Source organism: Homo sapiens, chromosome 17, assembly GCF_000001405.40.
Source record: "Homo sapiens chromosome 17, GRCh38.p14 Primary Assembly".
NCBI classification, from domain to species: domain Eukaryota; kingdom Metazoa; phylum Chordata; class Mammalia; order Primates; family Hominidae; genus Homo; species Homo sapiens.
Window position 1 is genome coordinate 32462819 of NC_000017.11, and position 14780 is coordinate 32477598.

The following is a 14780-nucleotide window of genomic DNA, read 5'->3' on the forward strand; positions in this document are numbered from 1 at the left end:
TGGGATTACGATCATGAGCCACCATACCTGGCTAATTTCTTCTATTTTTAGTAAAGACAGGATTTCTCCATGTTGGTCAGGCTGGTCTTGAACTCCCGACCTCAGGTGATCCACCTGCCTTGGCCTCCCAGATTGCTGGGATTACAGGCATGAGCCACTGCGCCTGGCCAGCATTTCTTAAGAGAACTTTGGATTTATATAAAAACCTGTTGTATTAGCAATTAGTTCTCTGGAGAGCTCAGTTTCTCATTTCATTTCTTTTGCTCTTATGCTCTAGTTAGCAACCTTAATATAAAACTTGCAGTAACCAAAGTGATAGAAGATCTTCAGTACTTAATATTTACTTTGTCAAAGCTAGCATGTCAGGGATACCTGATGGCGTGCTAGACTGTCTAGCATTGAGTGCTGCTTTAAGTCAGTTACTTTGCACCTTACCTCACTACTTAGGTGGCAGATAGTAGTAGGGGTTCAGAGTGCCTTTAAATAAAGCTTAAAAGCGCTTTTACGTGTTAGGCTAATTCTAATTTCTTTTTTTTTTAATTAAAAAAATTTTTTTTAAGACTAGTCAAAGTGCAGTAGTGAGAAGCAGGGAAAGAGTAGATCAGGAGCTCAATCTGTAACTGACTGTGAACAATCGAGATTACTCATTACCTTCAGACCAGCTTTTATCCCCTTTAATGCAAGCTAGGTTACTGTACCTGTTTGCTTTAAGAGTGATGATGAATTGATTAGTTGCACTGCTTAGAATCTGAAAGGGAAAAAGCCAGCTGGACCTTTTGAGTCTTAAAAGCAACTGCTAGGAATGAGGCATTAGTGCTTAGGATGAGAATTTCTCCCCTTTATTACCTGTGTATTATACATTACCATTACTATTTCTAACCAGGGAGAAATCTGTGCTTTAAAAATTCCTAATCTGTCATAGAAATCTACATTCCAGGTCTATACATGTTGTTTGGAAGTTCTTGGTCTCTCCTCAGTAGGTAGGAGTCTTGAAGATAGAGCTCTTTTCCTAAAAAACATAATCTAAGCACAAAAATATTTTATGTGTAAAAAGCCAAGTTGATGCTCCATTATGATATAACTATTACACATTGAGATACTGTGGATCAGACACTAAATAGAGCAACATGGATAATATGTAAGGAGGGAATTTAAGCTGTTCTCCAAAGCATGGTTTGTGGGAAGAATTTGAGGACATAATGTTGCATGTACTGTCTCTCCTTATTGCAGGTCGAGCTGTGTTTAGAGTGCATCGAATGGGCCAAGTCAGAGAAAAGAACTTTCTTACGCCAAGCTTTGGAGGTAGGTTTTACATTAGTACTCATTTCAGGTCTCTAAGCATGAGACAGAGGGTGAATGTAAGCAGTACCATCCTTATCAAAAGTATCTTCAGCAACTTTGTAATTACCTAGATACCGAAAGATTATTGATGGTAGCCCCACTTATGATAATTGCTCTGATTGAAGTTTTGAGACAGATTTGCTACTTGGCTCAGAGTAGTAAGCAACAACATGGTAAAGTTAACAGTCATTTGCTGGCTATAATAGGAGACAATACATTGGCTAGATCGTCTCTTATGCTGAATTTGATGCTATCATCAGAAATTGCATATTTAACAGTAACAGTTCTGTGACTGTCAATCTTTGATTTCTTTCTGTGGCTTTTTCCCCCCCCTTCAATCAATGCCTTTTCTCTTTCCTAGGCAAGACTGGTGTCTTTGTACTTTGATACCAAGAGGTACCAGGAAGCATTGCATTTGGGTAAGTAAGCTGGTAATAAGTCATCTCAGCTAGCTAAATGAATGTATTCTAAACCACCTGGCTACTCTTACTAATTACCTGTTAATAATTTATATTCTACTGACTTCTAAGAAGGATTTAAAGTAGCTTACAGTTCTGCATTTGTCATGGGAAAATGTCATTTGAAAGTTTAAAAAACTAGCTAGAGTTAATCTGTCAAATTTAGAGGACAAATGGGTAGTTTTAAGTTTACTTGAATTTGGAGCAGTAAAATCAATTCCATTTTAATAACTGAAATTTAAAAAAAGTGTATCTATATTTTGCATATAGTACTCTGTTAAATTTCAGATTTAGGTTTTTAAAGGCAAATGTTTGGCTTACTGTCCTATTTACTATATCTGCTTATATACTTAAAATCTATTTTAAAAATCAAGAAATTAATTGGGTACAAATATATTTGGAAGCTGGAGTGGCTAACTGAAGCCTTTTTCCTGTGTGGCCTTTAAACACCTTGAAATCTTCTCTGCTTTTTTTTTTTAATCTATCTATCTATCTATTTATTATTATTATTATTATTTTTTGAGACAGAGTCTTACTCTGTTGCCCAGGCTGGAGTGCAGCAGTGTGATCTCAGCTCGCTGCAACCTCTGCCTTTCAGGTTCAAGCGATTCTCCTGCTTTAGCCTCCTGAGTAGCTGGGACTGCAGGCATGTGCCTGGCTAATTTTTGTATTTTTAGTAGAGATGGGGTTTTGCTGTGTTGGCCATGCTGGTCTCAAACTACTGACCTCAAGTGATCTGCCTGCCTTAGCCTCCCAAAGTGCTAGGATTACAGGCATGAGCCACCGTGTCCGGCCACTGCTTGCTTTTTATGAGTGGGTAGATCTGGACTATTTTTTCCGAACAAAAGAACATGGCTCTTATGATCTATTAGGTTGAAGAGTTTCCAATATTCAATTTTTGGACTGCAAAAGTGGCAATTTCATATGGTTCAAATAGGAGCATTTAAAAAATAACTTTAATAAGATATGGTTCACTTACCATAAAATTCACTTTTAAAGTGTATAATCCAGTGGTTTTCAGTGTATTCACTAAGTTGTACAACCATCACCACTACTTAATTTCAGAAAGTTTTCAGCTGGGCGTGGTGGCTCATGCCTGTAATCCCAGCACTTTGGAAGGCCAAGGCAGGCAGATTGCCTGAGCTCAGGAGTTGGAGACCAGCCTAGGCAACATGGTGAAACCCCGTCTCTACTAAAAATACAAAAAATTTGCAGGACATGGTGGTGCACACCTGTAATCCCAGCTACTTGTTAGGCTGAGGCAGAAGAATCATTTGAACCCGGGAGGTGGAGGTTGCAGTGAGCCAAGATTATGCCACTGTACTCCAGCCTGGGCAACAGAGCGAGACTCTGTCTCCAAAAAAAGAAAAAAATTTCAGAACTTTTTTTTTTCTTTGAGATGGAGTCTCACTCTGTCGTCCAGGCTGGAGTGCAGGGGTGTGATGTTGGCTCACTGCAACCTCCGTCTCCTGTGTTCAAGCGATTCTCCTGTCTCGGCCTCCCGAATAGCAGAGATTACAGGCACCTGTCACCATGCCTGGCTAATTTTTGTATCTTTTAGTAGAGATGGGGTTTCACCATTTTGGTCAGGCTGGTCTCAAACTCCTGACCTCAAATGATCTGCCTGCCTTGGCCTCCCAAAGTACTGGGATTACAGGTGTGAGCTACCGTGCCTGGCCTCAGAACATTTTTATCACCCCAGAAAGAAACTTCCTATTCATTAGCAGCCCTGGGCGATTACTAAGCTATTTGTATCTTTGTAGATTTGTCTGTTCTGGGTATTTCTTAAAAATGAAATGATACAATATTTGTTTCTCTGTGATTGTCTTCTTTCACGTAGCATTATGTTTTCAGGGTTTATGTTGTAGCATGTGTCAGTACTTCATTCCTTTTTATTGCTGAATAATAGTCAATTGTAAGGATATATCACATGTGTTTATCCATTCATCAGTTGATGGACACTTGTGTTGTTTCTACATTTTAGCTCTTAAGAATACTGCTATGAACAGGTTTTATGTGGACATGTTCTTCTGGGTATATACCTAGAAGTGGAATTATACTGTGTCATGTGGTAACTGATTAGCTGTTTAAGGAGCTGCTAAGTAAGCTGTTTTCCAAAGTGGCTGCACCATTTTACATTCTCTTTAACATTGTATGAGGGTTCCAATTTTTCCATATCCTTACCAACACTTGTTATTTTTTAATTTTAGCCATCCTAAATAGCATTTCATTATGTTTTTGTTTTGCATCTCCCTAATGACTGATGATGCTGAGCATATTTTCATGTGCTTTTTGCTCCTTCGTATGTCTTGTTTTTTTGTTTGTTTGTTTGTTTGTTTTTTCTTTTGAGACAGTCTTTCTTTGTTACCCAGGCTGGAGTGCAGTGGCGTGATCTTGGCTCACTGCAACCTCCACCTCCTGGGTTCAAGCAATTCTCCTGCCTCAGCCTCCCAAGTACCTGGGATTATGGGCACGCACCACCATGCTCGGCTAATTTTTGTATTCTTAGTAGAGACGGGTTTTCACCATGTTGGCCAGCCTGGTCTCGAACTCTTGACTTAGTGATCTGCCCGCCTTGGCCTCCCAAAGTTCTAGGATTACAGGCGTGAGCCACCATGCCCGGCCTTTTTTTTTTTTTTTTTTTTCTTGAGACACTCTTGCTCTGTCTCCCAGGCTGGAGTGCGGTGGCACGATCTCGGCTCACTGCAACCTCCACCTCCCGGGTTCAAGTGATTCTCCTGCCTCAGCCTCCCGAGTAGCTGAGATTATAGGCGTGCACCACCATGTCCAGCTAGTTTGTATATTTTTAATAGAGACGGGGTTTCACCATGTTAGCCAGGCTGGTGTCGAACTCCTAACCTCAGGTGATGTGCCCGCCTTGGCCTCCCAAAGTGCTGGGATTACAGGCTTGAGCCACTGCGCCCGGCCTCCTTTATATGTATGTCTTCAGATAAATATTCAGATCCTTTGCTTATTTTTTAATTGGTTATTTGTGTTTTTATTTTTTAGAAACAGGGTCTCACTCTGTCACCCAACCTGGATGGAGTACAGTGGTGCAGTCATAGCTCACTGCAGCCTGGAAATCCTGGGCTCCAGCAATCCTCCTGCCTCAGTCTCCTGAGTAGCTAGGACTATAGGCGTGTGCCACCACACCCAGCTCTTGTTTTTATTTTTTATTCTGAAGTTCTTTTCTTTTTTTTAAGTTTGTTTTAATGTCGGGTACATGTGCAGGTTTGTTACATAGGTAAACTTGCGTCATGCAGTTTGTTGTTCAGATTTTTTGGTGCTCAGGTGTTAAGCCTGGTACCTATTAGTTATTTTTCTTGATCCTTTTCCTCCTCCCACCCTCTGATAGGCCTTAGTGTGTGGTGTTCCCCTCCGCGTTCAGGTATTCTCATCATTTAGCTCCCACTTACAAGTGAGAACATGTGGTATTTGGTTTTCTCTTCCTATTTTAGTTTGCTAAGGATAATAGCCTCCAGCTCCATTCATGTTCCTGCAGAGGACGTGATCTCGTTCTTTTTTATGGCTGCATAGTATTCTGTGGTGTATATGTACATTTTCTTTATTCAGTCTGCCGTTGATGGGCATTTAGGTTTATTTTTTATTCTGTATACAAGTCCCTTACCAGATACATGATTTGCAATTTTTTTTTCTTTGTTCTGTGGGTTGTTTTTTTCCTTCGATGACGTCCTTTGAAGTACATTTTAATTTTGATGAAGTTCTGTTACCTGTTTTTTGTTGTTGCTTATGCTTTTGGTGTTACATCTAAGAAACCATTGCCAAATCCAAAGCCACAGGGATTTATTTCTGTTTTCTTCTAGAAGTTTTATAGGTTTCACTCTTAAATTTATGTCTTTGATCCATTTTGAGTCAATTTATGTATATGGTGTAAGTCTGTTTGAATTTGATATTCTAGTTTGAGATGGGGGAGTCAGGGAAGAAGGTATATTTGGAGAACATTGGTATATCTAGAACTCTTTACTTCCTTCATCAACCTAGTGCCCCAGTGTTTCTTATATAGCCTTGTGATTGCTAGACAAGAAGAGAGCGAGATTGTGTCTTTCTGAACTGGATAACTAGATTTAGCATTTTATAGGTAGAGATTCCCACTGTATTTAAATCTTAGGAGTAAGCTCATAGGACTGTTGGCTCTAATATTGTCCTTAGGAAGCAGAAAACTTCAAAGAGGTGTGTTTTTCTCTTGGAAGATAGCACATTAGTGGAAAATTTAATTATTGCATGGGGTCTAGAGGTAACCTTTTTTGAGTTCAGGAATTTTTTTTTTTTTTTAATCCTGAGTGTTATGAGGGTGGGAGAGTGAGCTATTATTAGGTATTAAGCTGATGGCTATAAAGGAGAATGTCTTTTCCTTTTTCAGGTTCTCAGCTGCTGCGGGAGTTGAAAAAGATGGACGACAAAGCTCTTTTGGTGGAAGTACAGCTTTTAGAAAGCAAAACATACCATGCCCTGAGCAACCTGCCGAAAGCCCGAGCTGCCTTAACTTCTGCTCGAACCACAGCAAATGCCATCTACTGCCCCCCTAAATTGCAGGCCACCTTGGACATGCAGTCGGGTAACAGACGTAGCTATTCCTGGGATGTGTTTTCTTAAAGCTCATCTTATTTTATAGGTGGAAGGAATGGGGGTTGGGGCTGGAGAATAAAATTGGCTGATTTGGCTCTAGCTTCTTCAGAGAACCAGTTAGAAAGCTACCTTTCTAACTAGCTGCTCCCCTCCTGTTAACTGCCTAAAATGTATTAAGAACATACCTATCTGTGGTTGACCAGGCAATCTGACTTTTAGAACCAAACTTAGAAAGGTCGCACGTAGAAGACTCCCTTAGCTCTTAGCCACTTACTCAGAATAGTAGCATTTTCCTTTGGGATTGGCCTACCCCAAGTCTGTTGACTCTTGGAGATCTTTGTAAAGTTGGTTGACTTTTCCAAAGGGCCTCAAATCAGGGCTGAGGAATGATAACCCAATTTCAGCTGAGTGTGGTATGTAGTTTTCCGATGGAGTGCGTGAATGTGAGGCTGGGAAGCCATGGATTGGCAGGTGGAATACTTTCTTTTGTATTCAGCAGTTTTTTTTTTTACTGGAGGCGTCATTATTGAAGGAATGTTGGAATTGGAAGCAGAAGACGAGTTTAAGTGCTTGTGTTACCTCTCATCTGTAAAAGATAATGCCTACTCGACTCATCTGTCAGGGATGTACTGATCTAGGATCAGGCTTTCCTAGGTTGACATTTTGTTCTGCTGCTTTCTAGTATGTGACTTTGGGCAAGTTACTTAATTTATGTTTAGCTCATCTGTAAAATGGTAATAATTGGCACATGATAGAGCCTCATTAATGTTTGTGTTGAATGAGTGACAGTCTAGTTTTTTGTTTTGTTTTTACTTTTTTTTTTTTTGAGACAGGGTCTCACTCTGTTGCCCAGGTTGGAGCACAGTGGTGCAGTCACAGCTTACCACAGCCTCAACTTCCTGGGCTCAAGTGATCCTCCTATCTCAGTCTCTTGAGTAGCTGGGACTACAGGAGCGCGACACCATGCCAAGCTAACTTTTTGTAGAGATAGGGTTTCGCCATGTTGCCCAGACTGGTCTTGAACTCCTGGGCTCAAGCAATTTTCCCACCTTGGCCTCTCAAAGTGCTGGGATTATAGGCATGAGCCACCATGCCTGGCCTTTGTTTCTGTTTTTTTTTTTGAGATGGGGTCTTGTTTTGTTCAGCCACCCAGGCTGGAATGCAGTGGCGCAATCTTGGCTCACTGCATCCACTGTCTCCTGGGTTCAAGCGATTCTCCTGTCTCAGCCTCCCGAGTAGCTGGGATTACAGGCACCTGCCATCATGCCCAGCTAATTTTTGTATTTTAGTAGAGATGGGGTTTCACCATGTTGGCCAGGCTGGCTGCACGCCTCTGCCTCCCAAAGTGCTAGGATTATAGGCATGAGCCACTGTGCCTGGCCTGTTTCTGTTTTTAACAATAAACCTCATGTGCCAGCCATGACACTCAGAGTGCTGATATGGCCCCTGTTAACTAATGTGTTTGGCAAAGCAGTATACCAGTTCTTGGGCCTTATTTTATTTATTTGTTTTTTAACCATACATATTTTTGGGTCTGGCTTATTCTCTCTCTATACTGGGAGATGTGGAAAAATGGAGATGTGTCTCATTTAGTTTAGCAGCATTAATGGTTTGTTGGGTTGTTGAAGGGGCTTTCCTTAGCTACAGAGAAGAGCAGATATTCCTTGAGGCCTCTATACTTAACAGTAGTAGAAAAAGGATCTGATTCCCACAAACCCAAAGTGGGAGGTTTTTTGAGTAGGCTGGAAGGACGCATCACTCAATAAATGGTGAAGTCAGAAGGTTCCTGCTGGTATTGAGTTCTTTGGATCATGTGTCAGCAGCGTCATCCTTTGACTCTAGTGTGCTAAATACTTTCTACATGTATCTCGATGTGAAAGATGTTGGGAAGCAGTTGTGGTAAACAAATGGATGGGGCTGAGGTCTGTAACTTCTTAAAGGGCTGGGGCAGAGTTAGAGCTAATATACACAAATAGAGAATTTTAGGGTTTAGATGCCTCCCAAGCTTGGAAAGAACTAATTTTTATGTTATCCCAAGTGATAGCATAGGTTGGCAGTAGTAGCAGGTTCAATCAAAGTTAAGCTCATTGGGAGCAACTCAACTTCTAAGCAATAGGGGATTGGTTAGGTCAACTATGGTATATCAGTCTGAAGAAATACTGCTTAGCCATGTATAATTAAGTTCATGGATTTGGCATTATGTGAAAGCTGTACACTGAGTGCATTTAGGCAAAAGCACATCCACAAATGATAAATATTTGAAATGAAAATATAAGATGTTGGATTCCCTCTCCCATGCCCCATGACAGTTGCATAAATATAAAACTATCAGGCTTAGAAAAGCTATCTTAAAGTAGTTAATATTATTAGAACAGGTCATTCAGGCAGTCTAGAGATGTTTAGGTCAACTCCCTGACCTGTGAATGTGATGTCATGGAGGGTAAACATGGCCTTTTCCTGTGGCTCCAAAAGATAGCAGGACTGGAATGGTGGTGAGAAGCATGGAAGAAAGATGGTACAGTATGTGTTTTTCAGGTCCCTTTTAAGTTGAGTCTCTAACTCCTTTGGGAACTTATATTGGCAATATGACATTGAGCTGGGAGGTCAGAGACTTGGATTCTCATCTTCTAATCTCAGCTGTCAAATTGCTGACTATGGTGACTTTGGGCAGGTTTTTTTTTTTTTAGACGGTCTCACTTTTTCACCCATGCTGCAGTGCATTTTTGCTATCACAGCTCCCATCGCTATCATCAGCCTCCCAGGCTCACGTGATCCTCCTACCTCAGTCTCATGAGTAAGTAGCTGGGGCTACAGGCATGTGCCACCACGCCTGGCTAATTTTTTGTAGAGATGGGGTTTCACCCTGTTGCCTAGGCTGGTCTTGAGCTCCTAGGTTCAGGTGATCCACCTGCCTTGGCCTCCCAAAGTGTTGAGATTACAGATGTGAGCCACTGTGCCTGGCAGAGCAGGTTCTTTATCCTTTCCTGACCTCATCAGTAGGTTGGTGGAGTTGACGTAGAGTTTTTTTTTTTTTTTGAGACAGTGTCTTGCTCTGTTGCCCAGGCTGGAGTGCAGTGACGTGACCTCGGCTCACTGCAACCTCTACCTCCTGGATTCAAGTGATTCTCCTGCCTCAGCCACCTGAGTAGCTGGGATTACAGGCATGTACCACCAAGGCCGGCTAATTTTTGTATTTTTAGTAGAGATGGCGTTTTGCCTTGTTGGCCAAGCTGATCTCGATCTCCTGACCCTCAAGTGATCTGGCTGCCTTGGCCTCCCAAAGTGCTGGGATTATAGACGTTAGAGTTTACAGACGTGAGCCACTGTGCCTGACCTCTTTTTTTTTTTTTTAAGACGGAGTCTCACTCTGTCGCCCAAGTTGGAGTGCTGTGGCGTGATCTCAGCTCACTGCAACCTCCACCTCCTGGGTTCAAGAGATTCTCCTGCCTCAGCCTCCCAAGTAGCTGGGATTACAGGTGCCCGCCACCATGCCTGGCTGGTTTAGTATTTTTAGTAGAGACAGGTTTTTACCATGTTGGCCAGGCTGGTCTTGAAATCCTGACCTCAGATGACCCTCCTGCTTCTGCCTCCCAAAGTGCTGGGATTACAGGCATGAGCCACCATGCCCGGCCTTTTTCTTTTTTTTTTTTTTTTTTAAGAGACAAGGTCGGCTGGGTGTGGTGGCTCACACCTGTAATCCCAGCACTTTGGGAAGCCGAGGCGGGTGGATCACTTGAGGTCAGGAGTTCAAGACTAGCCTGGCGAACATACGGTGAAACCAGTCTCTACTAAAAATACAAAAAATTAGCCGGGCGTGGTAGTGGGTGCCTGTAATCCCAGCTACTTGGGAGGCTGAGGCAGGAGAATTGCTTGAACCCACGAGGCGGAGGTTGCCGTGAGCTGAGATTGCGCCATTGCACTCCAGCCTCAGTGACAGAGTGAGACTCGGCTCAAAAAAAAAAATAAAGAGACAACATCTAACTCTGTTACTTAGGCTCAAACTCTTGGGCTCAAGCTATCCTCCTGCCTCAGCCTCTCAAAAGTGCCGAGATTACAGGAGTGAACCCCTGCACCTGGCTTTTTTTTTTTGAGACGGAAGTTTGCCCTTGTTGCCCAGGCTGGAGTGCAGTGGCGCAATCTCGGCTCACCGCAACCTCCGCTTCCTGGGTTGAAGTGATTCTCCTTCCTCAGCCTCCCGAGTAGCAGGGATTACAGGCATGCGCTACCACACCCAGCTAATTTTTTTTGTAATTTTAGTAGAGATGGGATTTGTCCATGTTGGTCAGTCTGATCTTGAGCTCCTGACCTCAGGTGATCCGCCTGCCTCAGCCTCCCAAAGTGCTGGGATTATAGGCGTGAGCTGAAACCGTGCCCAGCATTTTTTTTTTTTTCAAGAGATGGGGTCTTACTATGTTACTCAGGCTTGTCTCGAACTCCTGGGCTCACATGATCCTCCCATCTCAGCCTCCCAAAGTGTGGATTTACAGGTGTGAGCCACCGTGCCCATTTAGGTAGATGTCTAAGCTGCCTCCCAGCTCTGATCTTTTATGGCTCTATTATTTTATATGTTCTTATTCCTTTCTTTTCAATGCCCAGGTATTATCCATGCAGCAGAAGAGAAGGACTGGAAAACTGCGTACTCATACTTCTATGAGGCATTTGAGGGTTATGACTCCATCGACAGCCCCAAGGCCATCACATCTCTGAAGTACATGTTGCTGTGCAAAATCATGCTCAACACGTAGGTGCACCTTAACTCTGGACTACAAGAACTCAGATCCTTCAGCAAGTCTGTTTGCCATGGCAGAGATGGCCTGAGCAGGGAGTTTGGCCAGTTACAGAAACAGCAGCAGCTGCGGCCTCTAGGGCTGGCTAAGGTAGAGCGGGAGGATCAAAAGTGGTCCAGAAAACTTTCGCTTGCTAGTCTTTCAGAATCAGGCAGACATTTTAGAAATCCCCTTCCCAGCTCCTCTTGGAGAATTCTCCTCATCCTTTAAATATTCTGTCCTCATAGGTGCAGAGCACAGGACAGAGGGTCAGGAAATAGCTTACAGATCAGCCAGTAACAGCCAACTGAGCCACCCAGAATGAGGAAGGAAGGGTTAAGGAGAGGTTTGAAAAAGTGGACAACAAAAGTATGACAGACCTACTTATAAAGAAGTCTACAGAATTATTCAATTCTTTTGGGAATAAATGAAATATTGACTAAGAACTCTCTCTGGATCTTTGGATTACATAAGGGCTATGTTTTAATAATACCTGTTACACTGGGATTTGACTTAAACTTATAGTTCTGCTTGTTGTGTCTATTGCTTTTGGTAGGTTCAGTTCAGCTTTCTAACATTGGAGTTTTTCTACTCTTCAGGCTGAGCTGTGACCCAGAGTGGAGAAAACCTAGCTTTTGCAATGTGATGGGCATATGGGTTTAGGGGTTGGGCTGATTGTCTGTGTGGGCAGAGTCTTTATTACAATGGAATTCTGTTAAAAAGAAATTTGCCCAAACCTTCCTTTAGAAGCATAACATCTGCAGCAATTGACCAAGTATGTCTTTTTTTCTAGCCCAGAAGATGTCCAGGCTTTGGTGAGCGGGAAGCTTGCACTTCGGTATGCAGGGAGGCAGGTAGGGACTCCCTTGACTGCAGTTCTGCTCACTCTGAGACCAGCATGTTTTCAGAGTCACAACGTTTGATGAGACCAGCACTCTTCAGATCTTCATACTACTCTCTTCCTTCTGCCCCACTCACTTCCTTCCCTTAAGCCCATTCAGTGTGTTTCCCAGACTGTTAAATTCTTGGCCTGGAAAGTCAGCGTTTGGTGCTCTTATGGACATCACGTTGTTTGAGGGACTTAGGGAACTGAACTGTAGCATTTGCAGTGAGTTAGTTTGCATTTGGCTTTGACCAGAAGATTTATCTACCACGAGTCTGAGTTGTGAATTTAACATAGGCAGGGTATGAAATCTTAGATTCTCCAGGTTAGGAGCCTGGTAAGGTCTGGTGCATATGTGCTTTAGAGAGGTCTGATTGCTTGGTGCAGAAACTAGGTTTTGAGATTTACTTCTGTGCTTCTCAGATCAGTACCTTTCTACTCGTGCTTTGAATTTTGGGTGTGGTGCAAAAAGAGGCCCTTTTTTTTTTTTTGTTACCTTAATGCCCAAGTAGGTATGAGTGTGACTTCTGAGAGCAGACAGTTAGGACCTACGCAAAGATGACGTCTAGACTGTCTCCTCTTTGTATTTTGCTTGATTATCACTAGTAAAGTAAGTGTAATCTTTCTGGATTTCAACTGCAGTGGTCTCTAAACACAGACTGATTGGCTGTCTATATAATCTCACTGTATCTCTGGAGGAGTGGCCACATAGATGATTTCTTCCCTCTCTACAAGTGGCCCTAATTGGCTTTTTTTTTTTTTTTGAGTTGGAGTCTCATTCTTTCATTCAGGCTGGAGTGCAGTGGCGTATCTCGGCTCACTGCATCCTCCTCCTCCCAGTTTGAAGTGATTCTCCTGTCTCAGCCTCCCGAGTAGCTGGGATTACAGGCATCCGCCACTATGCCCGGCTAATTTTTTGTAGTAGAGACAGGGTTTTGCCATCTTGGCCAGGCTGTCCCAAACTCCTAACCTCAAGTGATCCGCCCACCTCAACCTCCAAAAGTGCTGGGATTGTAGGTGTGAGCCACTGCATCCAGCCACGCATCTTCCAGTATAGTAATAACCGGTACTCTTGAGGTCAAAACCAGGAGCTGACCTGAAACTTTTGCTGATAAAAAGCCAATTAGGGGCTGGACGTGGTGGCTCATGCCTGTAATCCCAGCACTTTGGGCGGCTGAGGTGGGCGGATCACTTGAGGTCAGCAGTTTGAGAGCAGCCTGGCCAATGTGGCAAAATCCCAGCTCTATTAAAAATACAAAAATTAGCCGGGCATGGTAGTGCATTGGTGGCTGTAATCCCAGCTACTCAGGAGGCTGAGGCAGGAGAATCACTTCAAACGGGGAGTGGAAGTTGCAGTAAGCCAAGATAGCACCACTGTACTCTAACCTGGGCGACAGAGTGAGACTCTGTCTTAAAAAATAATAAATAAGAAAGATGCACTACTCTCACTATAACTAGAGTTGAGGAGACAGGCTCAGGGACATCCAAGTGTTCAGGGCAAGGTCAGGTAGCTAATCAATGGTGGAGCTAGACTTTGAATTAGGGTCATTGGCTCTAAGTTCCAGGCTTTTCTCATTTTGACACTTTTTTCTGTCTATAGGACAAATGCTGGAGACAAACACACTAATGATTAGCCTTGCACCATGTAGTCTACTGTATAAGACACACTGTTCTTATATAAGCATGTAGGCTGATAAAAGAGCAGCTTCTCTTAGTCCCTTGCGCCTTTGATGTTAGCTTTTAAGCAGGAGATAGGCTAATCTCCCAGAAAGATGAGTGTTGCAGATTTTTTGCTGAGTGGAGACTTAATAGCTTGGTCAGGTGCCTTTTTTAACCATGTTAGAAGTTGTTCTCAACTATTGATTATACCTTCATCACTCTGTGGGGTCTTAACATTTGGTGTAATATGTTAATGCCGCAACCTTTTTTTGAGACGGATTCTTTTTCTATCACCCAGCTGCAGTGCAGTGGCATGATCTTGGCTCACTGCAACCTCTGCCTCCTGGGTTCTAGCAATTCTCCTGCCTCAGCCTCCCAAGTAGCTGGGATTACAGGCGTCCACCACTATGCCCGGCTAAGTAGAGAAGGGAGTTTCACCATGTTGGCCAGGCTGGTCTCGAACTCCTGAACCTCAAGTGATCTGCCCACCTCGGCCTCCCAAAGTGGTGGGATTACAGGTGTGAGCCACTGTGCCTGGCCTTGATGCCTCAGTGTTAATGAGGTAGACCTTGTTCAGTGCCTTGTTCCAAACCTAGCAGAATGAATCTTGATAAAGCACAGATATAATAGGGTCTAAGGGCAAGAAGGAGTTTGGGTGGATGTGGCGATAACAAGCCTTGGAGGAAGGGAGAAGAAATCACAGTTCTCTTGTCATTTTTCCTTTTAGCTTGTCATCTCTAGAGAATGCTATATTAGGGTCGGTCTGTTTGGAAAATTTCTGTTTCCTAGTATTATTAAGTCATTTCAGGTTTCAAAGGGAAACAGGTTGGCATATAGTGGTATTCAGTACTTGCGGCTCTTCTTCCCGGGCGTCTGAAGAAGAACGATGGTGGGGCGGGTTCTTCCTTTTGGCAGAAGTTGTGTGGACACAGCATACTGCTTATGAGACTTGGGTAAATGTTAGTGTGCAGAATAAATCGCTTTCATGGTTTGTCTCTTTATTCTCAGACAGAAGCATTAAAATGCGTGGCTCAGGCTAGCAAGAACAGATCACTGGCAGATTTTGAAAAGGTGAGTATGATATTG

The 14780-nt window shown here is 43.0% G+C and overlaps 1 protein-coding gene across 2 annotated transcripts in view; it reads left to right on the forward strand.

The window, feature by feature from the left end:
• Positions 1-14780, forward strand: part of PSMD11 (proteasome 26S subunit, non-ATPase 11) — a 38810-nt gene that overhangs the window by 18309 nt on the left and 5721 nt on the right. For both annotated transcript variants that reach the window (NM_001270482.2, NM_002815.4), the window contains exons 4-9: positions 1231-1302; positions 1703-1760; positions 6181-6375; positions 10983-11127; positions 11946-12006; positions 14703-14765. In NM_001270482.2, coding sequence (NP_001257411.1) covers positions 1231-1302; positions 1703-1760; positions 6181-6375; positions 10983-11127; positions 11946-12006; positions 14703-14765 — 594 coding nt within the window. The remainder of the gene's footprint in view (positions 1-1230; positions 1303-1702; positions 1761-6180; positions 6376-10982; positions 11128-11945; positions 12007-14702; positions 14766-14780) is intronic.